Here is a 25,370-nt window from a genome sequence, read left to right as displayed (position 1 = left end):
GTTGCTCTCATCAATGCTTTCCACTGTCTTGAGGAAGAAATTTCAAACTCCTATGCATGGCATACAAGGTTCATCAACATCTAAATCCATATCCTTTTTCCCATCTCTTGTCACTGTTTAACATGATCTAATTAATCGGCTATAAAACAATTTGCAGCTCCTTAAATGAAACATTGTACTGTGCTTTTTCTTGCCTTTATGACTTTGCCTGTCATATTCTTCCTCTTTTGAATGTCCTTTTCCTAACTGCCTACCTGGCAAACACCTACTTTACTTCCATCTCAAGGTTTCCATTCTACGATTTCTAACTCATTCTTCCCTCTTGACCCAGATTGGGTTAGATGGCCCTTATCTATGCTGTCATATCACACCCGGGGCTTATCTCATTGTTCTCCAAATAGCTCTTTGTTTGTCTCCCCTACTATACTGTGAGCTCCTTGAAAATAGGGATTCTGACCTGTCCATTTTACATTCACAATCCCTAGTGCACAATGGACATTCGATAATTCATTTATTCAACGTATATCTATGAAATATTTGCTGAATAAATAAATGAATGAATGCTTGGGTAAAATTTCCTCTAACGACAGGTAATAAAATACTATAGACAGGTAATAAGATCTTAATATTGCTTCATTTTGGAACCAAGATACAATGTTTTAAACAAGACAGCCTGTTGTCCAAGCTTTATATGATGGGTGCTTCCAAGAGATGGAAGGGACTACTGAGAACATGCTTATTCTGTTGCCTCTGTTGTAGAATAACACCAACATGTATGAATCTGAAGTGGAAAAGTTCACTTTTCTGTAGCAATGGTTCATACCCAGCTCAGTAACTTCCTTACAACTCTTCTTCGAGGCTAAATTTTTTAGATACTAACAATTAAAATACCTGTTCTAAAATACTCTTAAGGTGAGAATAGGCCTCTTGTGGGGTAAATTTCAGTTCCACTATCAAGTGATCTATCTTATTAATCACTAAAACTGGATGGATGCTTTCAAGCCAAGCTTGTCACAGAACTGCCTGTGTCTAATAAAAACAGAAAGAAAAATGTAAAACTCATGATTTGAAATAATTAGAGCACATTAGAAAATATTGATTAATAACCACTCTAGACTATGCCAGCCACACAAAGGTATTCAATAGGCATTCACAAAGTATGTATACAGCACAGTAGCAAAGGACTATAGACAAGAAATCATCATTGCCTTTATGCAACTGACAGTTAAGAAGGATAAATAAGGCTGGGCATGGTGGCTCACACCTGTATCTCAGCACTCTGGGAGGCTGAGGCAGGTGGATCGCTTGAGGCCAGGAGATCAAGACTAGCCTGACCAACATGGCGAAATCCCGTCTCTACTAAAAATACAGAAATTAGCCAGGCATGATGACACATGCCTGTAATGCCAGTTTATGTGGAGGTTGAGGCATAAAAATCACTTGAACCCAGGAGGTGGAGGTTGCAGTAAACTGAGATCGCACCACCGCACTAAAGCCTGGGTGACAGAGCAAGACTCTGTCTCAAAACAAAAACAAAAACAAAGTATGTTAAATTAAAGTCATCATCTCTAAGATCCCTTCAGAACTCTGGTGATTTAACTCCTTCACAGACTGGAACGTTACCAAATGTGAAATATAAAACCAATGTTGTGATTGTCAGTGAAATGCCTAAAGTCAGTCAGTTCCCCCTCTTTCCTCACCCTTAACCATTTAAGTATTTTCTCACCACAATCCATTACCTGTGGACAGACTCCTTCCACAGCATCTACCACAATGATGCATCCATCACAAATGCGAACAGCGGTTGATACGTCTGAGGAAAAGTCCATGTGTCCTGGAGAGTCTATCAGATTAATCAGGTACTCCTCATTACCTAAAATACAATTTGTAAACACACATTTTCAGTTGTGCAGGTATACAATGTTCTTCCTCAGGCATTCTAGAATAAGAAAGCTGAAAGCTTCTAAGAAAAAACTGAGCAGAGCTAAAGGAGTCAAACACTCAGTCAAGAGCTATCATTCCAACTTTTCCCACTGATGGGACTACTGATTCCAAATAGCATCTATATAAAATGTTAAAGGACTTTAATATTCTAATAGTTACCACTTAAGAGCTTAGTAGGAGCCAGCCACTGTGATACTCACTTTTAATGTGCTAATCACATATTATTGAATCCTTACAATATCCCTGTGAGATACATATTACTATTCTCCTTTTACAGTTTAGGAAATTGAAACTGAAAGAAATCAATGCCCAAGAACCTGACAGTAAAAGCTGTTCAAAGGAACAACAAAGCAGTTGGCCAAGTTCTTCCCTACAATTTATCAAAGAGCAGTGTATGAATCGGCTCAATCAAGATTTAGATTTAGACTCAGTTCTACAAAATATGTAGATTTAGACTTAATGCTACAAAAGATTTAGACTCAATTCTACCACAACTTAAGGAGCAGTTACTATGTGCCAAGCAGTGCACTATGTGCTCTCCCATTAATATCTCCTTCAATAGTCTCAACAGACAAATGTATTAAACTTATAGTAGGGTGATGGCACATCCTGAGTTGTCTGGTTTTAGCACTGAAATTCCTACATCCAATCAAAGCCCTTAGTCCCAGGCAAACAAGAAAAAAAAAGATCATCTTAGGTTATAAAGAGTTATCATTAAACATAACTTAGTATACCATGCAGAAAATTAGTTAATACTTTAGAATTCTGTACTCATTCCCCATTATTGATAAATTTGATATAATTCTCTTTTAAAGGCAGAATAACTATTAGAATGCTCAAAGATATACTTTACTTTTGCTCCTCCCCTTAACTCAGTGTTTATCAACTTGAATGCACTCAAGAATGACTACAGGGTTGAGTATCCTTTATCTGAAATCCAAAATGCTCCAATGAGCATTTCCTTTTTGTGCCATGTTGGTATTTGAAGAGTTTTGAATTTTGGAGCATTTCAGATTTTGGATTTTCAGATTTGGGATGCTCAACCTGCAATTTATGGGCCATTTAAAGGATTTTCCCCCAATATAATTTTAATGACTTCGCTTGTGCCCTAGGTGATACTGATGATAAACACCACCACAACAATAACCACAACCAGCGCTTAACATCTGTGGACTGCCTATTCATGGCTGGCATTGTTCTAAGCATAATACAGAAATTATCTGATGTTTACTTACAACAATCCCCTGTAGTAGTTACAACTATTAGCCCAATTTTATATAGCAGGTAACTAAGGCACAGAAAAGTTAAGTATTTTTCTCAAGGACATCCAGCTAGAATCCAATTCTGAGGTTGACTAAGATCACACAATTCAAAATGATAGAGCATAAGTTCAAATCCACTTAACTCCAAAGACCATACCTCTAACCACTACACTCAGAAGGCAGTAACTTTCACCTCACATGCCAAGATTCCACTGCTAATGAATTCCTAAAACACTGGGTGAAGCATTCCCAAGTGTACTGAGGCTCAGTGGGAAAGACTGCCATCAGTTAGCAACAGACTGCCTTCTTCAGTACCACTCCTCCCCGCTGCCTCCTGGTCTTTTCATGCAAACTGCTTTATGAGGAACCATTGCTCTGCTGAAACCACCAGAGAAGGCTCCAACCAGAGAAGACCATGGAGATATCCAGTGAAAATCCAAGAAGTCAAATAACCAGAGCCCTGGAGCAATGGCCCACTGGACCTCAATCGAGCCTTTCACTGTCAGATCTCACACCAGTTCTCCTAGTCAACATTTTCGATAAGTATCGTGATCTCAACCAAGTACACCAGAGAAAAAGGAGCATGTCTAGTAGTGGTCTAGGGTCCTATCATACAAAATTAAAGCTGTGAGATTCTTAGAATCACTCAGCATTTTCTCAGCCTAAGCCTTTATTCCATAGAAAAACATGCTAACGCCCTCAAAAGGTAAGAGACTGACCCAAGGTCCCAAAAGAAGCAAGCCAGAAATACACCCAGGGCTATCGAACCATCTTAGTCACTTCTCGGGTCTTAGATTCCTTCATACTTTGCAACTGGGGAAACAACACTTGCCTATTCATCTGGCTAAACTCCAGACTTTAGAGTGGGAGAACTTCAAGCACTTTTCCATCCTTTGTGATACGACCGGGACCTGATACTGAAGTTTCAGAGACTGGGTCTCCAGTCAAGTTCTTTACAGAGTCTAAAAATGCACTCGTACAGACATTTCAGGCTTCCTATACAACAGTGCTCTTACCTTTTATTGGAGTTACAGACCTTTTAGGGAATAGTCAGAAAAACGAATACCTATCTACTTATCTATGCTCCCCTAAGTACGCGTCCATTTCCAGATTCTTTGAAATTCATTCAGGAAGGGCAGGTTCAGATCTAGAGAGGAACTGAAAGCTAATGATACACCAAGTGTTTCCACCTGAAAATCTACATCCTCAAAACTAAGTGTCTGATCAAATAATACAGCTGACAAATACAGCCAGCCTTGGAGCTCACATCACACATACATACTAAAGGTTCAGAGAAGCCCTGTGAGAAGTCTGTCCAACTCTGTTTAACCTGGAGTTTCTCAAATGTATTCAATGGTGAGAAAGAGGAAATGCCATGGTCAGTTACACAGCTGACAAAGGCTTGGCTCTGAGCCAGGCCTCCCAATTCCTCTTTCAACGCCTTTTTCATCTTAACCCTTTCCAAACAACTTTAACCTAAATTTCAAAGGTTGGGGAAAGAAGTCCCATATCCATTAGAGAAAAAAAGTCCACAAGCACAGCTCTTCTGCTGTGACTTCAGCCACATTATGTCTCTTTAAAAAATGCCATTTACCACTTTTGTGTATGTGTGATCAAATTAAAAAATACATAAAAACAATTACAGGGCTTATCATGCTAGATATTATTATTATTGCTAGTGGAAATTATTTAAAAAGTAGAAAATGCATAACACTTTTCAGGAGACAAAATTTTTTAAGCATGCTAAATGATCTTTCTGATTTGTAACAAAGTCCTGAAGCTACATATTGAACTAATCCCTGCAACAGCATTCAGGGACAGAATGCTGCTGCTTTACTTCCCAGGCATTCCAAACTAAACTGCTTCATTTCAAGGCACAGATCTAATCAGTCAAGCAACAATTCAATCTTTTTATATTCCAGGGAACTGAAAAAAAAATTGGAAGACCTGAAGTTAATTATGGGAGATATCTTCCAGACAATTTCTGCTGCTAATAGGGAGTTATGGGAAAAGAATTGCTCCCTTGCCCATGGTTTTAAAGTGCCATGGATAATTGTCTCACAGAAGGTGCACATTTGTCACTAGGACCTGCCAAAACATCTCTGTATTCAGTAAAACTTCATGTAAGGAGTTTAGTGTTCAACTTCCAAAACACTGGAAATGTTCACTAACGCATACATAGAAACCTGACGAGAGAAAACTTTCCATAAAATAAAAAAGAAACACTGAAGTTATGGAAGAAGATCTGAACCTCCTGAAAGTGTCCTTTATGTTTCAGTGTATGGTAGAGTATTTTGCCTGACAACGAAAATAACAGAAATACAGGCAGAACCTGAGTTATCTGAAGACATGTTCCTAAATTCCTTATGTATGAACTTATAACTATTATATACATAAGTTGTACACCAACTGTAACCAAAAGTCTCCCTCCACAGGAAATACCACTTTTATTTTTTAATTTTTTTTAAGATACGGGGTTTCACTGTAACATTCAGGCTGGATGCAGTGGCACAATCATAGCTCACTGCAGCCTCAAACTCCTGGGCTCAAGCGATCCTCCTGCCTCAGCCTCCAGAGTAGCAGGGACTGCAGGCACACAAGGGTAATTTTTATTTTATTTTTTGTAGAGATGGGGTTTCACTGTGTTGCCCCGGCAGGTCTCAAACTCCTGTCCTTAAGTGATCCTTCTGCCTCGGTCTCCCAAAGTGCCGGGATTACAGATGTGAGCCACTGAACCTGGTTACCTTTTATATCTTAATACTATGTTTTTACATTTTAAATCAATGTATAACTTTGTAAGTTATAAATCAACTAATATGGCTTATTTGACAGAATTGTAAAGCACAACTATAAAGCTGATACAGGTAACAGGATAACTATCTTTATGAGAAGACTGCCACAAGGAGAGGTGAAGGGTGGTTGACTCTGATGGTATGTGTCAAAACTGAGATGGGGTCAGGCACAGTGGCTCACACCAATAATCCAAGTGCTTTGGAAGGCCAAAACAGGAGGATCACTTGAGCCAAGACCAGCCTGGACAACATAACAAGACCGTCATCTCTATAAGAAATTTAAAAAATTAGCCAGGCATGGTGGCACATGCCTGTAGTCTTAGCTACTTGGGAGGCTGAGGCAGGAGGACTGCTTGAGTCTAGAAGTTCTGGGCTGCAGTGAGCTATGATCACCACTGCACTCCAGCCTGGGTGATAGAATGAGACTCTTGTCTTAAAAAAAAAAAAAAAAAGTGACAGGGGTTAGGAAAATGAGAGGAAAAATGATCTAGAAACAACTATGAATAGCAAACTGATTAAGTTTTCTTTTGCTGCACAAACCCAACCCGAAGACCTCTCCAGACCTTCCTCCAACATGAAACTAGACCACGTACAGAGCACTTCTGATTACATTTGGCCTCACCCGCTTTTGGTTTTTCTCAGTATGATGCCAGTCCACACCTGCCACCCAGTACTGTGGCCACACCCTGAACTCTGACATCACTGAGAACTTCTCCACCTTTGAAGGCCTGCTGTGTAGATAGTAAATCTAATAATTACACATCCACATTGTCTTGATTCCTTTGATCATTGGCAGTTTTGCTTGGAAGGGTATAAGAATAAGAACCAGAATAAGAAACCCTGGAGTAAAAAAAAGGTTGACACTTACTTATAATATCTCTATGCCTAGCATTACCCTGGAGAGTCATAGATCAAGGATCAATTTCACACTGCTAATGCACGTCATTAGTATAAGGTGCGGGTCATATCATCAGAGTAATTGAGAGAGTAATTGTAGTATAACTTTGACTAAGAAGCGGGAAGAGGAAACATGCAGAGGAATGTGGGGCTGAAAGAAGGATTTATGTATTTTTTAAGACAAGACAGACTTGAGCATGATTAAAAGCTGATGGTTACAAGCCAGTACAGAGGGACAGGTGGAAGATACTGAAGAAAAGATCATAAACAGAAGGTAAGTCCAGAGCACAGGTTTTTGCCAGTGACAGGAGGCAAACAAAAATGCCCATACCATTACGTTTTGAGGTACAGTGGCAAGCAGGTGAGAGTTCTTCTCTTTTCTGTGAAATAGAAAGTAAGAATGTCTGCTGAGATTGTGGAGGAGGGGATGACAGGTAGGCTGAAGGAGACCAGAAGGTTTAAAATAGCTGCTGGGAAGAGTAAGCAAGACCTAATAGAGAGAGAGATGGGAAATCTGCCAGCAGTCTGGAGGACCACTTGAGAACCTAGCCCAAATACAAGGATGAAGACGTGTAGAGAATTAACTTTATCAAGGGTTAAAGTTTTATTGGGAAAAATATGACAGAAAGTCAAGAACCAAAGAGACTGAAGATGCTGGGAAGACTGTCAGTGAAATGACAAATCTGGGCTGTATGAGGCAGGAAGTGAATGAAGAAAGAGGCTGATGGGAGTCAAAAAACTAGAGAACATTATGAAGTCAAAGAATGGGTAACTCATTAGTCAGGTGAAAGAAAGAAAGCTGGGAGAATCAAAGATTGTAGAGAAGGAAGTATTTAAATTTGAAATGTCAAAGATGAATAGCTCAAGGTGATGCTAAAATCCAGAAAGTAGTCATGACAACGGGTAGGTGAAGTGGAGAACCAATGTTGTTGAGAGGATAAGCTGTTGAAGAAGTCATTCTCAGGGATGGTAAAAGCCACCTTAGAAGATTCAGGTGAAAAGAACAATTATGAGGCTGGGTGCCAAAGTCACTAATGAACAGGAAACATCACCAGGAGCTGACAATGACTGGAAAGGTGAATAATTGGATGGTCTGAGTCTTGAAAGGAGAAGTTTGAAAACAAGGGTAGAAGAATTAACTTTTGTAATCAGATCTGGGAACAAAAAGAATGGCAATCCCATATGCTAACCCAGAGATACGTGGAACATGAACGAAGGAGTAGCATTCACTTGGAAAAGGTACAAGGCAGGCAATGTCATCAGAAGACAGCCAGGCAGAAGGGGGAAACGTCAATAAAAAGACATTGAGGATGTAGCGATGTTTGTTTCCCTTGGAATGTTTTCACAGTAAGTTTTGGTAAGGAGGGGAATAATGGGAGATTGAAAGAGGCTGACAGAATCACAGAGAAACATGGGGAAGAGACTATAAGAGGGCCAGATCATGTGGCTTGCATCGTGGGCAGTGACTGAAGACCACAGGGATGTAGGTAGTGTTGGCCACAAGACGTCCATAGCAATCACTAGTGGAAAGGAGATACTCAAGCCTCAGGAGGAATTTCCTCTAGTTGTGGCCTGACTTCCAAGAGACTAATGGTCCAAGTGAATACGCTGGAAATGTGGGTTCTAGGACTACTACCACATGCTAGAAATTACTCTGTCCTTGGGAAAGTGTCTTCACCTCTCTGAACTCCATTTTTGCACATGTGTAAAATCAGAGTAATACCCATCACAGAGTTGCTGTGAAGATAAAACAAAATCAGGCATACGGGACACCTAGCTCAGAAGTGAACTATCGTGTACCTAGTTTCTTACGCCTGGCATCAACTGAATACTTCACAAAGTAAAGCATTCATTGTCTGACGAGAACAAAATCTACCCTTCAGTCAAATGAGGGGTAATGGAACTCTTCCCTCCCAGCCTCATTCTGGAAAGAATAAGGCAAGTTAGGACCATGGGTAAACATTCACACAGCCAGAAGGAAAGGGAAGCTACTGCCTCTGAATAAGAGATGACTTTCTGCTACATGCTGGCCTTGTCTGTAATTAGATGGCATGAGTCAGTGTCTCCATGGCCTAGTCTTTGGAGTATAAAACCAGAGAGCCACAGAGCTGAAATCAACACATGCGTAAATCCTCCTTCTGCCCACAACCACTAACCCTAACAGAGGTATTTACAAAGTGATCAACTTGCATATGGACCTCTTTGCAGAAGGCTGCTATATCCTTGGTCTCCACGTTTAGAGGACAACCTCACTGCATATGGCTGACTCTTGGGTGAATCCCAAGTGTACCACTAGTCTATTAGCTAGACTATATGCCTGAGGTTACTAACTAAAAGCTCATAAGCTAAAGCCCACTGCAGTGTGTTCTACATGGTGTTTTACAATTTTTAAATAAGTTGCCGTCATTTTGAAACTTGGAAGATTTTACCAAAAATCTTGATGCCAACTTTTCTTGAAAAAAAAAAAAATTCCCACAGGGTATCAATCAATCAAGTGGAGCTGAATGATACTGGCCTTTATCCAGGAATTGGGGGAGGTATTCCATGAGTGGGCATAATTCACTCTCTAGTCCTTAACAGCCCCACCCAAACTGCCTCACTTATGCAGAGGTGTCAACACCATGTCAGCAATAATATTGTACTTAATAATCACATCTGACAGGTGTTAGAATAAGTAAGCTATTTGCGGGGGAAATAAAGTCAGATATTTACCTCACAGTGTGTGCATACACATACAACTTGCATTAAATATAAAAATTGAAAATATAAAATAACTGGCGGTAAACTGACAGTGATTTCTCTTCCATTTTTGTGTTTTACTGTATATTCTATAACACATACTAAATTTTCTATAGTAAATATGAACTTGGGCCAGGTATGGTGGCTCACACTTGTAATCCCAAAACTTTAGGAAATGGGTACAAGGCTTGCATCCAGGAGGTTGAGACCAGTCTGGGCAACATAGCAAGATCTCATCTCTACAAAAAAATTGAAATATATGTGTATATATATATAAATTGAAATAGATATACATATACACAATATATACTATATATGCAATATATATATACACGTGTGTATGTATGTATATAAACTTGTAAATTTATTTAAAATATTTTAAAAGATGAATTAGATAAAAACTTCAAAAGTTCAGCAACAGCAGTATTTGCTCAGGTATAAAAAATGGCTATACAGTAGAAATGACAGCAGTATTCCTTTTGATGAATTTCAAATTATTAACCCATGTGAATCTATTTCTGTCTTCTATATCTCAATTCTAGGCTAAAGGATTCAAAGACATTACATCCCCTTAGGATATTTTACAGAACGTATATTGTTAGGAATACTTCCTAACAAGATAAATGTGTGGTATTCTTGTGGGTAGGACACAAAGAGAGGTAAGAAACAGGCAAATAACAAGATTTAATAATATGATCCCAACATTTGTAGCAAATTTTGGTCACAAACGTCAAGATAATAGAGGCTCCATTTTCTCAAAGAATAATTAGGTTCCTGGAAAATGCTGAGATAGTGTATGACCTTGATGGTTTTCAGCATCACTTCTATAATGTGCAGGATTTATCTGTTTACCTTAAACTAGAATAAGACCCTATATTTCAACCCAAATAAATATTTGAAAATACTTTTGAAAGCTCGTTAAATTAAGAGAACCAGAGAAAGAGTTTAACTTGCATTTAGTACACAGATTCTCAAATAAGAGGGGATTCAAAGTGGGTGAGAAGGAGGGGAAGGCATGGTATAAATAAAAGTCACCTGTGGAGTTTCTTCAATCATCAGGTTTCCCTCTTTTTCTCCCATCTAGGTTCCCCTTCAGACGTCCCACCTTCAGAACAGGAAATACCCCATTCTGGAGAATCAGTACTAAGATACAGATAAAAACATATCTCATCTCTCAAGTGCTCTGAGAGGATATGTCCCAGTCAACATTCCTAACTTCTATCCCCATAAGGCTCTGCACTGTCAAGTGTGATGACTGCTCGGCCCAAATTCCCTTCTAGGCAGTAATCCCATGCTCACAAGAAACATGTTTGACACTTTGTGACTCCACTCCGATCACCACTGATTGGATTAGGAGGTGACTAACCAACCCAAGCGCAGCCAATCCATAGGTGCAACCTCTGTGATGGGCTGGCATGAAAAGATAAGCAGAGCCGCATCCTGCTCTTGAGCCTGTGTGCTCAGAAACACAAGAGATTGAAGCAGTAGGCAACAGAAATAAGGTGAAAACAGACAGGATAATAGGGTAAGAAGTCAGGGCAAGGTGAATGTACAAAGATGAAGACATGACAGTAGGCAAAAGCTATGAGACAGAGAAAAGACATACAGGATAATAGTGGAGATACAAACAGACACCCAAATCCAAGGACAACAGTGGAGTTCCAGAGGCAGGATCCATAAACTTTTACTGATGTGGTCTCTAGAGCTATCTTGGATCCAGAATGAAAATCTGGCTCCAATTTTTATGAGACGTCACTCCAATAAGACTCCTGTTTTTCCATTTTCATGAATATTATTTCCAATCTCATTTCACACATATGCTTTCAATAAGCTATCTCACCCCAACCCAAGCTAGCTTGTCTCTGGTCTGTGCAATCAAGAAAGCATACCTGGCCAGGTGCAGTGGCTCCCGACTGTAATCCCAGCACTTTGGGAGGCCAAGTCGGGCAGATCACCTGAGGTCAGGAGTTCGAGACCAGCGTGGACAACATGGTGAAACCCCATCTCTACTAAAAATACAAAAATTAGCTAGGCGTGGTGGCATGCACCTGTAATCCCAGCTACCCAGGAGGCTGAGGCAGGAGAATCACTGGAACCCAGGAGGCAGAGGCTTTAGCGTGCAGAGACTGCGCCACTGCATTCCAGCCTAGGTGACAGAGCAAAAAAAAAAAAAAAAAAAAAAAAAAAAAAAAAAAAAAAAAAAAAGTGAGCCGGGTGCGGTGGCTCACGCCTGTAATCCCAGCACTTTGGGAGGCCGAGGCGGGTGGATCATGAGGTCAGGAGATCGAGACCATCCTGGCTAACATGGTGAAACCCCGACACTACTAAAAATACAAAAAAAAAAAAAAATTAGCCAGGCATGGTGGCGGGTGCCTGTAGTCCCAGCTGTTTGGGAGGCTGAGGCAGGAGAATGGTGTGAATCTGGGAGGTGGAGGTTGCAGTGAGCCAAGACTGCACCACTGCACTCCAGCCTGGGCAACAGAGCGAGACTCTGTCTCAAAAAAAAAAAAAAAAAGGGTACCTAAAATAATCTGTGAGCAGCCAGGGTCACAGAGCTCAACCAAACAGAGTTCAGACCACTCAATTCCCAGGGTCCTATAGCAAATTCTCCTACAATACTACACCAGAAAGACAAATGTGAATTGGAACAGGTGAATTTTATGGTATATAAATTAAACCTTAATAAAGTGGTTAAAGGGGTCAGGAGAGGGGGACTATAGACAAAGTATAGAGCAGAAAAACTAAAACTGACCCCAGAGGAATCTTCAAATAAAAGCACACTAATAATCTGAGTAAAGAAGAAAGCAGCCTTCAAATCTCTTGAAGTCTATAAAATGAGATAAGAAATGAATAGACCCTCAACCCCATTCTCTGGATCACAGGATGAGAACATACCCTTTAAAATGTGAGAATTGTTTTTTTAAAAAAATGAAGTGTTACTTTAAACATTAAACATTGAGAATTCATGTGCCTAAGAGCTTCAAAACTGGTTTGGTACAAAAGCCATGCCCCACAGAGTACATCTTTTGGTGGCAGTGCCAAAGATATGACACTTGTGAAGGATGAACCACAGGTAAGTCCATTAGGGAAATAAAATTTATCTTTATTATTTTCTTCTAATTACAAAAATATACATTTTGTGTAAAATTTTCAAATACCACAAAAATAAATATTTTGAAAAGTGCAAGTTTTCCATAATCATAGCCCCTGCAGAGAGCTACTGTTAAGGGTTTGGTATGTATCCTTCCAGACACCTTTATCTGCATATATAATATATTTTTATTATCCAAACACATTCATATCTTACAAAAATACTCTGCAATTTGTTTTCTGTCTCTGAACATACCATTTTCCCCTGTACAATAACATATATATTAAACATTTGTTTTAACAGCTGCACAGTATTTCACCGCTTGGATGTATCAGTTTATTGAACCATTCTCCTATTGACATTCAGGTTGTTGGTATTTTTTTCACGAATACAAACTTTTTAGTGAATATCAGTGACATGTATCTCACACACTTACATGAATATTTCTGTCAGATAAATTCCTAGAAGTGTTACTATCAAAGTAGCATCCTCATTTGAGGATAGCAAGCTGGTACTGATCATGGCAGTCTACTTTTAAGTAAATAAGACTCCAAATCTAACATGCAGGCCAGGCCATGAGGCAGAATAGAAAGGCTGAACCAGCTAAAGTCCTAGGGCTCCTGACTTTCCTTGTGAAGGAATCCATATAATCACCTGGTGGAGGGGGCAGGTGTGAATTGCCAGTTCTTCTGCCCTCAAACCAGTCAGAGGTTTCCATCTGCATCCAAGCCTGGACAGCCTAACTCTGACAACAGGTCATGTGGAGACGCCAGAATAAAATATGTGGAATATAAGCAAAGAAACTGAGGCATGCAATTAATTCAGAAAGACAGAGGAGGACATGAAAGATGCAAAGCTGTGTTTCTTTAAAACAGACTGACTTACCTGTTGCATAATGTAGGGAAATGGCACTGGATTTCATAGTGATCCCTCGGATCTGTTCATCTTCTCTGCTGTCCATGTACCTTAACTGGAAAAATGCAACATATGCATCTTCACTTCCCAAAGAATTAAAATGTAACATTAAAATTTGCTAATTTAGATTTTTGTTTTAAATACTTAAATTTTTTATTTTTATTTATTTTTGTAGTGACGGGGTCTCGCTATGTGGCCTGCACTAGTCTCGAACTCCTAGCCTCAAGTGATCCTCCCACCTTGGCCTCCCAAAGAGCTGAGATAACAGATGTGAACCACCATGCCCAGGCAATACTTAAATTTTAAACTATACAGCGTCTCTTTTTTTTTTTTTTTTTTTTTTTTTTTTGAGACAGAGTCTTATGCTGCTGTCCAGACTGGAGTGCAGTAGCGCAATCTCGGCTCACTGCAACCTCTGCTTCCCAGGTTCAAGTGATTCTCCTGCCTCAGCCTCCCAAGTAGCAGAGATTACAGGCATGTGCCACTACACCTGGCTAATTTTTGTATTTTTAGTAGAGACAGGGTTTCACCGTGTTGGTCAGGCTGGTCTTGAACTCCTGACCTCAGGTGATCCACCCACCTCAGTCTCCCAAAGTACTGGCATTACAGGCATTAGCCACCTCGCCTGGCCCTCTCTCTTTTTTTAAAGATGATGAGGGGATGGAGAAGTGAAGTTAGTTGGCGGGAAGGGAACATGACAAATGAAAAACATTACCACTAGGAACTCATAAATGTATTCAACTACTGCATACCCTCCCCAGAGTGTTGCTCATCCAACTATCAGCCATGAATGATGGGGCAGGTCAAGAACAACTTACAGACAGTAGCATTTGGGGGAATTCTTTCTAAACATCAATAACACAGCCATTCTTTTCCTATTTATAAGCTGTTTGACAAATTCTGAGCAGAGACTGAAACAGAGGTCTCTAGAGGCAAGAGAAGTGTCTTTACCCCTTTCCCAAATTAACAGATTTTGAATATATCTTTTTTTAAAAAAGAATACAGTAGAAAATATTTGTAATATGACCATTTAATTGATAATTTTCCCAGTGATACCCACCAATGAGTGTCTACATCTCATTTTCTAGGCCTTGCAGTGCATCAGTACTGACAGTGGTGTCGTTTAAATGAAGATCCCATCCCTTTCCAACTCCTTAGCCCTAAGCACCAGACTAACCTCCTCCTCCTTTCTCCAGAATGATTTTCCCTTACCCTTCCTCCATTCTCTCCACTGTCAAACTTTTGAAAAATTCTTAACCTGTCTATTTTCTCCTTTCTTTCATTCAAAAGCACCAAGAATTATCGGTTGATATGAACTGCCACATTTATTCATCCACATTAATTCTGAAATTTTCAGAAAGGCTTCCATTTCCACAGCTCTGGCAAAATCAAAGTCCTAAAAGCTATCAATGACCTCTGGCCAAACGCAATAATCATTCTCAATCCTCATTTTTCTTGATTCCAGTGCAACATGACAGTTACCCTTTGTGTGCATGTGTGTTACATGCATATGTGAAATTCTTCCAAGAGTCTGAAACCTCTTAATTTACCTCCATCTCTCCTCAGATCCCACTGCTGGTTTCCCTTCACCTCTCCAACCTCTCCATCAGTCCTTCCTTCAAAAAGTCTCAGTCCCTTGTCAGTCTTCTATAATGTACGTTTTTAAGCACTGAGTTGGTATGAAACATGTGTAATACATAAATAACAACACAATGAACCCCTGTGTATGCACCATCCCATTTCAAAAGGAAAAAAAAGTTTGTTACTTTTGAAGTACCCTGTGCTCCTGGCTTATAGGTAACCACTATCTTGAATTTTATCTTGTTCATTTCCTTATTTTCTTTATAATTTTTAAAAATGAGTGTGTCACTAAGCAATATATCATGTAGAGTGGCAAGTTTTAAGCCTTCTATAAGAATCATACTTAATATATTATACTGTCATGTTTTATTTGTTCAATATTGTTTTCCTGAGATTCAGCCATATTGATGTAATTCATTCATTTTTATTACCGTAGGACTTCACCTCACAAATCTACCAGACCCATTCGTCCATTGCATTACTGATGGACATGGAGACCAATTCCAGTTTTTTGTAACTATTACTGTGCTGATATGAACAGTTGTTGGTCTCTTGTACACTCCCTACCAGTAGAATTTCTGAGTTATTAAATCTGCACATCCTCAACCTAACTTGATATTTCCAAATTATTTTCCAAATAGTTGGACTGATCCACGGTGGAATAGTGCTTTTTTTGATACATAACTTCAACAGCTGATATTGCTGGACTTTATTTTTTAAGATGGGTGATAAATAGCATCTCATGGTTTTAATTTACATTTCCCCTATTATTAATGGGATTAAGTATCCCTTTATAAGTTTCTTGTATTGGCCATTTAACATTCCTTTTCTGTGAACTGCCTATATAAGGCTTTTGTCCACCTTTCTACTGGTTGTAATAAAGATTTATTTTGTTTTGGATAGGAGTTATTTATAATCTCTGAATATTAGTCCTTTGTCAATTATATGTGTGTTATTAATATTTTTCACAGTTACCAGGCTTGTTTTTTCCATTTCTTTCTGGCATCTTTGATAAATATGTTCTTAATTTTAAGTAGTTTATTAACCTTTCATAAAATTGTTTGCACATTTTTGTCTTAAGAAATCTTCCTTTAAGGTCATAAAAATATTAGCCCATATTATTTTCTAAAAGCTTTACAGTTTTGCTTTTAAATATAAGTATCTTAACTGTGCAATTGATTTGTGTGTGGTGTTAAGTAGAGGTCCAATTTTTTTTTCCACATGGATAACCAATTGCCCAAGAACCATTTGAAAGGTTCATCTTTTTCCCACAGATCTGAAATGCCAGCCTACTATTCTAGGCCTACTATTCTGAGCCATCAGTCAATTTCATGCCTCAGCCGATTCCAGGCCACAGGTTACAATACATCAATACATTCATAATACGTCTTAGTTTTCTCCAATATCTTATAGGTTTTGTTGTTATTGTTGTTGTTTTTGTTGTTTTTGAAGAGATGGGGTCTTGTGCTATCCACCAGGCTGGAGTGCAGTTGCTGTCACAGCTCACTGCAGCCTCAAACTCCTGGGTTCATGCAATTGTCCTGCCTCAGCTTCCTAAGTAGCTGGGATTATAGGCCTGAGCCACCATGCCCAGCACAGGTACATTTTTTATGCTATTTAAATGGTTTAATGTATTTAAATTTCTGTATATTATCTATTTATTGCTCATGTATTCTTTTCAATGGTTTTCATATCCTGAAACCTGCCAAATTGTTACTAATATCCTAGCAATTTATCTACATTTCTTCTTCCTGTCCAAAATTCACACTTTTAATTTTTCTTTCCAGCTTTATCACTGCAACTAGAACCTCCAGTACAATGTAAAGTAGAAGTTATAACACAATGAGCAGAAGGGTGTGACGGCCATACTTGCCTTATTCCTGGCTATGAATAGAAAAGTTTTAACACTTCATCATTAAGCTCAATCTTCATTGTAGGTTTTTTACAAATATCCCACATCAGATTACAGAGGTTCTCTTCTGTAACTACATTGCAAAGAGGTTTTATCACAATAGATATTGAATTTTACTATGTCTTCTATATCTGTTGACATGATCATGATTTTCTTCCTTTAATCCGTTAATATAGTGAAATTACATGTTAAACCAATCTTGAATTCCTTGGGATAAACTCGATTTGGATATGAATAATCATCTTTTTATACTATGCTGAATTCTGTTTGTTAACGAGGATGATAATTTTTGCATCCATAATCACAAGGTTGGTATGCAATTCTCCTGTCTTGTATTATCCTTAACAGACTTTTGGTATCAAAGTTATGCTATCTTCATATGATTTGGAGAATACTGCCGATTGTTGGGTTTTTCTCTGCTATATTTTGCAACGGTTTAAGTAGGACTGAAATTATTTGTTCTTTGAATGTTTGGCAGAACTAGAGAGTTAAACCATCTGGGTCTTTTCTTTATGGAAAGATTTTTAACAGCCAATTCAATTTCTTAAATGACTATAGAATAATTCAAGTTTCCTATTTCTTCTTGACTCCACTTTAGCAAGTTATGTTTTCCAGACATTTTTCCATTTTAGCACTTTTAAGTTTACTGGCATAAAGTTGTTCATTATATCCTATTATTACCGTATTCACTTCTGTAGCATTTTTCTTTCTGGGTATCACTTATTTCTGCCTCCTCTCTTTTCTTCTTGATCATCTTGCTGGTGTTTTGCCAGTTGTGTTACCCTTCTTTAAAGTCATTCATTCAAAAGTATTTATTTATATATACTATGCTTTGTATATGTCCAAAGTACAGTGAGCCACATTGGGAACATTAGCAGGTCAAAAGTGTCAAATGTTCCTCAACAATGTCAATGAAAAGCAAAACAAAAAAGTTTTCTAGTCAAGACAATCAAAAATTGTCTATATTGCTAGTAATTGTTTACATTAATAAACTTTATATTTTTAGAGCAACTTTAAGTTCACGGAAGAATCGACTGAAGTTTCCCACATACTCTCTCTTCCCACCAACACATAGTTTCCCCATTATATCTATATTGTATTAGTATATAATGTGATACATTTGTTACAACTGATGAACCAATATGGATGCATTATGATTAATTAAAGTCCATAGTTCACATTAGGGTTCACTCTTCATTAGTTATGTTAATCTTATCCAAAAACAAACTGTGGCTTCACTGATCCTTTCTATAAAATGTCTGTTTACTATTTCAGTAATTCATGCTTTATTATTTCCTTTCATCTACTTTAGAGTTATTATACTTTCTCTAAATTCTCAAGTGGGGAAAATATAAGCATTTCATTATTTCACTCAACCTAGTTTTTTTCAGCCTCCTCTAGATAGTATCTTGGGCCAGCTTCCCTCCCAACCCACACATCAATTCCCAAATCGACCTTCAAGTCTACTGGATCTACTCTGTGGATTCAATTTTGCTTCTCCATCTCCTCTTCTCTCTATTCTCTGTCACCTGATAAACCCTGTTGTTCATATCCTAAATTCATTATAGAAATGAATATATTTTTATTTTTCTACTGCCAAGTAAATTATTCCAAGCCCTTTCAACTCATAGCTACAAATAAAGATCTCTTTATCTCCTCAAACACTATTTTCAGGCTATGTATGGTGGCTGACACCTGTAATTCCAGCGCTTTAGGAAGTCAAGGCAGGAGGATTGCTTGAGCCCAGGAGTTCAAGATAAGCCTGGGGGAACATGGCAGAACCCTGTCTCTACAAAAAAAATTAGCCAGGTGTGGTGGCGTGCACCTGTAGTCCCTAGTACCCGAGAGGCTGAGGTGGGAGGATCACCTGAGCTCAAGAGGGCGAGGTTGCAGTGAGCCGTGCATGATCACACCACTGCACTCTAGCCTGGGCAACAGAGTGAGATCCTGTCTCAAAAACAAAAACCAAAAAACCCATTCTTTTCATTATTTTCATCACAATCTTCAGGCATAAGCAGCTTTCCTTTGATACTTAGGTTAACTTTTAAGGTCTTCTATCATCTTATACATTCTCCCTGCCAGTGTGTTTTCTCTCTCATTAGTCTCTAGGCAAATGCTCCACTCAAAGCACAACACACAAATTAGCCTTTATCCATGTTATTTCCCACCACCTGATAGCTTTTCTGTCTTCTCCTCAAACCACCCAATTCGTTCACCTACAAAGAATCTTTTGCTGTGAAATCTTCCACAATTGGGTATCATTTGCTTGTTGCAAAAACTCACTTTTGCACTTACAAAATATTAATATAAAGCAATACAAACAATATAGAAGTAACTGTTTTTCTTGCCAGCAATTTTATCTTGCAAAATGGATTGGCAGCTTTTATATGCAAGAACTATATTTTATACCCTTTTGGATCGCTAAAGAACACAGAAAATAGTTCATCACATTGTTGACAGCTAATACTGAAATGCAACGAGTATTTATAAAATAATAACATACCTTGCCTGCTAGGTGGCTGGAGATGATTCCATTGCTAGATATAAGACAGTCAGCCAGAGTAGTTTTTCCTGTTAAAACAGCAACATCGATTCAAATCTATGTCTTTTTAAAAAGGGGTCATGGGATGGATCATACCTATAGATTTAAAATCTGGTCATAACAATTGGTTTAGTAAAGATTTTCTATTTACCTATGCTAGGTGAAAAAGACAAAAGAGTTTGATTAGACTCTTGAACAGACTATCATCTGGAAGGACACAGATGCTAGCACTCTCTAATGCTGGAATCTTATCTCCAACCCTGTGGATCTAATCAACCTCATCTGAAAGTTGTCAAGCAACTTTTCTTAAAGTAGAGAATTTTTCTTAAATTGAGGCAGACTTTATACAGAGAAAAACACACTTTTCCGTGATAGGGCAAACCACCAAACCAATCAAAATATAGAATACCTGATGAGTTTTACACAGTTACTATAATTTGTCCTCTAAGAATTTGATCAAGTTTATCACAATTACTACATCAATTATCCCATATCCAGAACCATGACCATGTTTATCAAATTAAGCCCCTGACAGCACAGAATGACAAAATGCAGTAATTTTTTTTTCTCTGAAACGCATACTGGGTAAAACATCATCAATAAACAATTGAACATACTCTTCTGCCATACTTCCCCATGCATGGCCTCAGCTGGAATTTGCTAGTTAAACTGTCTCAAGAAAACACTTATTTATCAAAGAAATTCAGGAACTTTACCCATATCTCTTACTGTTTGTAATATAGCCCGTGGAGGCCATAAACTATAACAACCAATGAAACCTAGTATCCAAATCTAAACATAGGAATCTACTTTATAGCAAAAGAATCTTTGTATATATTTATAGTTACCTTTATTAAACAGACTACATACAACTAAACTCTATGCAATTTTGTGTGGTATAAACAGGTGATTCTGTTTAAAGAATGTTATGGGTATGCATAATTACTACAACTGGGTTGGAGTAAGCAAATGAGGGTTTTTTCCTTCAAGATAAGTCTTTATTGCACTTTAGGAACTTCAGCAAAGCTATGCAATCTCTGTATAGTTCAAACCAGAGACCAATGAGTAGGAGAACTGAAGATATTTAACACTGTGTTATCTGTCTGCCATGTAAATATGTATTAGCATATAATCCTAGAGCATCACTTTCCTGCAACCCAATAAAGCCGAATTTATTCTAAGTACATCAAGTATATACTTCCCTAGGAAATAATTATCAAGCAAGCAGGAACTTTGCTTTACTCACAGCGGTATCCCTAGGACCAGAACAATGCTTTGTCATATAGAAGACCTTCAGAAAATACTTGTTGAATGAATCACAGGTTTTCTAGGATAGTACCAGTTTAACATAATTTTAAACAATACATTTAAAGTAATTTGTTACACCCCACTGACTTTCCACTTGATTAAATTCATAAAGAAAAAAAACCCTTTTATCAGCCTTCACATTCTCAAAATGTGAGCAGTAAAATTATAAAAACTCATGGAGGCAGGGGTTACTCACTGGATTTGTACTAAAACTCATTCTCAGCTGGCTTCACTTGTAAAGTGATCCACTATCTGTCTGTCTTTCAGTTTCCATACTCACATCACTTCAGCTCTTCTATCAATGACAACAGCCACCTATCCTCTGACTTTGGATCCATCCTAAGCATGTCCACCAGTCTAATCTTTCTCATGTTTTATTTGATTACATCAGTCCTGCTCCATGTTTCCCCTCAAAGGTTCCCTACTGCCTAATAGTAGACGTTAATAATCGTTTTCATGGTGAAGCATTTGTTCCCCCTCAAAGGTTCCCTACTGCCTAATAGTAGACGTTAATAATCGTTTTCATGGTGAAGCATTTATGTTCCCTCTCATTATTATCACATTTAATCCTATAGCCTATAAAGTGGGTATAGTTTTCATCCTGTTTTACAGATGCTGTATAATGAAGCTCAGGAAGGCAAAGTACGTAACTTGAAAATGGAGATCTGAACTCAGGTTGTCTAACTTCAGAGCTGGAGCACTTAACTCTTAGCCTAGTTCCTATGAAATATGACTCAGCCTGCTTCTTCACCTCGCCGACTAGTCCTTCACCTTTAGGATGGTAAATAGACTTTATTTCACATGCCCATCCCAATCACTTTGCTATGGCTACCTAAACTACGAAGGGGTTTGAAGAGGAGGCTTAGCACGAGGGAGCGCTATGGGGTTACAGCAGTATCGGTCAGAAGCACACACACCACGCGTTGGCTATCTCTGCCTTTCCCAGATGCTGGGCTTTGACCACTTACATTTCCTTCACCCCTTGATGACACATTCCCACTTGTAATGTTTATCTCCATTTGTCATCTTGAGCCACCTTCAAGTGTCATCTCTAATATTAATTATGTTGTGAGGCCTTTTCTTAATCCCTCATTTCTCAATCCTCTAGTTCTCCCGACATTAGAGTCTACTTTTTTCTCATGTTTGTCTCATTTTCCTCTGCTCCCCCTTAAATCCTCCTCTACAGCTCCAGCCTGGGCAACAAGAGGGAAATTCCGTCCTCCCCCAACAAAAAAAACCTCCTCTACAGCTGGGCTGGTGCCCTACTCATAAATCTCCACGTTCTGACATACTTGGCAAAATATCTTGAACTTAACAGACGTTTGATAAATATCTGATGAATTAAACAGGATTGCATACCACAGACTCTAAAGACGTTATGTTAAGGCTACAGACATTTTATACGTAAAGCCATTTCGAAAACAAAAAATTCAAGTTCTGGTTTAAAAAACAACATGACATAATATATAGAAGAATGCTACTCACTAGGTAACCGTGTTCATTTCAAATGCCTTATAGCAAAGCAGGCTTCCCTAACATCACAGAAAACTTTTAAAGGAAAGACTTGCTTCTTAGCAAACACCACTCTCAGCTGCCCACAGCTTCACTCCACTGAGGCATACAGAGACACACCTCCCTTATTTATCAAAATAAGCCATTTAAAAAGTATTCTTACCACGGTCAACATGAGCCAAAACACAAATATTCCTGATGTTGGCAGTGTTTTTCTGGAGTTGAATCATCTTATCCAAACTGTTGAGCACCATGATTATTTCCTGTGTCAAAAAATTAAATATGTATTACAAATGGCCCAGAGGCTAAAGGTTGGGGCAAAAGAAAAAAATAATAATAAACGCTGGGAGGTGGCAAGGCTTCTCAAACCCCTTAAACCAAGAACCCAGTGAATGTTTATTGATGAGATAGACCACCAAGGCCTAAGTCCAGTTCGAGCACTAAAGTCAGTATCCTACCACGATTATACTTAAGGAGTTTGCTCATCCTTCCGGATCCGAAGGCTGCGATGAATCACTCAGCTCGTGGGGGCTGGGTGCACAGTGACACCAGTAACCCTGCCGGTGGAGGAGTACTCCAGTAAACATCTCCAGGCCAATGACCACGTACAGGAAGGGTTGCATCCAGGAGGGAGAGAAAATGCTGAAGAAGATGCTCCCTTTCTCTCTTCAGTCTTCCCTCAAGTCCCTCATTCTGACATTCTCGCTCGTCCTCGCGCGAGGTCAAATACCCAGCTTTATTCCTGCCCATAGAGCCCCAACAAAGTTTTGGGTCACGTGCTTACTATCCAAGCAGGTGCACTGTCGGTCTTTCATTCCTTTCTAAATAAAAAGGAAAAACCTCTACACTACATGCCCTTCATTTCTGCAGGGTCCCGGATTCGTTCTATTTGAGGATCCCGGGTCTACACAGGCGACCGCCTCGGCCCCAGACTGGAAGCGACACTCCAGGGACCAAAGCTTCCAGCCCGCGCTCGGCCCCAGCCCCTGTTTCCGCCTCAGAGCCGCAGCGAGCAGGGTCCTGCGGCACCGCCCAGAGACTGGCCTAGGAGGTTCCAGCCCCCAGCGCCAGCACACACTCACCGGCTGCAGCAGCCCCACCAGCCCTGCTCCTTCTCCCGGGTCCCGGCCACACCAAGAGCTTCGGAAACGCCGAGAACTCTGCGGGTCCAGAACGCCCGCGCGGACGCTTCTCTTACGGCGCCGGAAGCCGGCGCCGAGTCTGTCACCGGGCATCCCTCTGTTGCCTTGACGACGGCGGGCGCTGTAAGAGTGGAGAAGCTGCAGGTGCTGAGGCGCGGTGAAAGAAACCCTGGGAGCCAAGAGCACGAGGAGCTGGTGTCTGTGTCACATTTGTACTTGCGGGTAAGAAACCGCTGGTGTAGCGGCGGGCCAGGGCTTGGGAGCCGACCTAGGGCCTAGGTGCACGGAGCGGGCTCCTCGGGAACCCTGAGAGTGGCCGTCCCCCGGAGATGAAGGGACGAGGGCGCAGCGACTTCCGCACTTATCCCGCCCCACGAATACTCGCTCCGCACCCGCCGGCTACCCGGGGATAAAACGTTTGTTCGTAGCCCCTGAGACTCCCAATCAAGGATGCAAAGTAAAATGCCACCCGGGCCAGGTAAATAATATATGTGAAGCAGCGACGGGATATAACGCTGGTGAGTAGTGGGATGTGATCCGACTGGGAGAGTGCATTTCCACCCCATAATCCCCCACCACAAAGATGAGAAAGAACAGTGCTCAAGGCCCTGAGTCTGCAACCCATATCACATTTTCTTTCATCTGCACCTTTCTATCCTCCCAGCCAGACCATATTCCCATTCCCGTCCAGGCAGCAGTTCTTTGGGATCCGCCTGACTGAAAGGCAGTACAGTAGTCCCCACCCTGAAACCTAGAATCCAACTGTGAGTCCTGCCTAACAACCTTCCATCACCTATGAACACAGTCTTCTCCTTACTTAGCTTCAGCTGACCCAGGGATTAGATCATTATTTGCTAAATAAATATGAACGTGTCAATCCCTTTGTATTTGTAATCCTCTTCAAAGAAAACACCTTCATGTTGATGGAAAGCAGTTTTTTTGATAGTCTCATAATAAACACAGTTTGTAATTAGACGTAGATTAAAATATCAACAAATTAACTTTGGGTGTATGAATCTGCAGACTGGGGTGCAGGAGAAAATTTTTACTTTTTTTCTAATTCATATTCAACGTAAGTTCCTTTAACTGTTAGGAAATTCAGTCTTCATTATGTTGAGGGCTACCCTTAGAATGGTGTGATTTTACTTTTTGTTTGTTTGTTTTTGGTTGTGTTTTTTTTTGTTTTTTAAGGGTTTTGTCTTTATTTTCTGATAATGCAATAAATAAATACACATGAGGTGTCATAAAAATTTGAGCAAAAATATCTATAATATTGTAAAACGCCTTCATAATTCTATCTTCCACAGATAACAAATGTTCTTTAAGACTTGTTTTACATATGCATTGATTTTTTTCTTTTATTTTCTTTTTTTTTTTTTTGAGACAGAGTCTTGCTCTGTTGCCAGGCTGGAGTGCAGTGGCACAATCTCGGCTCACTGCAATCTCTGCCTCCTGGGTTCAAGCAATTATCCTGCCTCAGCCTCTCGAGTAGCTGGGATTACAGGCACGCGCCACCGCACCCAACTAATTTTTGTATTTTTAGTAGAGACGGGGTTTCACCATGTTGGCCTCTATCTCCTGACCTCATGATCTGCCTGCTTCGGCCTCCCAAAGTACTGGGATTACAGTCATGAACCACTGCACCCAGCCTGCATAGATTTTTTTTTTTAACAAAAAAGGAGAATATTCTGAGCATACTATTCTTTTTTTTTATTCCTTTGAAGGTTTTTTTT

General features: G+C 39.5%; 1 pseudogene across 1 annotated transcript in view; it reads right to left on the bottom strand.

Annotated features, from left to right (window-relative positions):
- Positions 1 to 23,717, bottom strand: part of EFL1P1 (elongation factor like GTPase 1 pseudogene 1) — a 46,415-nt pseudogene extending 22,698 nt beyond the window's left edge. The window contains exons 1-5 of the transcript NR_036652.1: positions 23,578 to 23,717; positions 22,659 to 22,758; positions 19,637 to 19,704; positions 13,611 to 13,695; positions 1,740 to 1,873 (exon numbers count right to left, since the gene is read on the bottom strand). The product of NR_036652.1 is annotated as an elongation factor like GTPase 1 pseudogene 1 (transcript). The remainder of the gene's footprint in view (positions 1 to 1,739; positions 1,874 to 13,610; positions 13,696 to 19,636; positions 19,705 to 22,658; positions 22,759 to 23,577) is intronic.
- Between the last annotated feature and the right edge of the window lie 1,653 nt (positions 23,718 to 25,370).

This window comes from Homo sapiens, chromosome 15 (genome assembly GCF_000001405.40).
Source record: "Homo sapiens chromosome 15, GRCh38.p14 Primary Assembly".
Taxonomy (NCBI): Eukaryota; Metazoa; Chordata; class Mammalia; order Primates; family Hominidae; genus Homo; species Homo sapiens.
The sequence above is the reverse complement of the archived record's forward strand: the minus strand, read 5'-3'. Positions and strand labels throughout refer to the sequence as shown.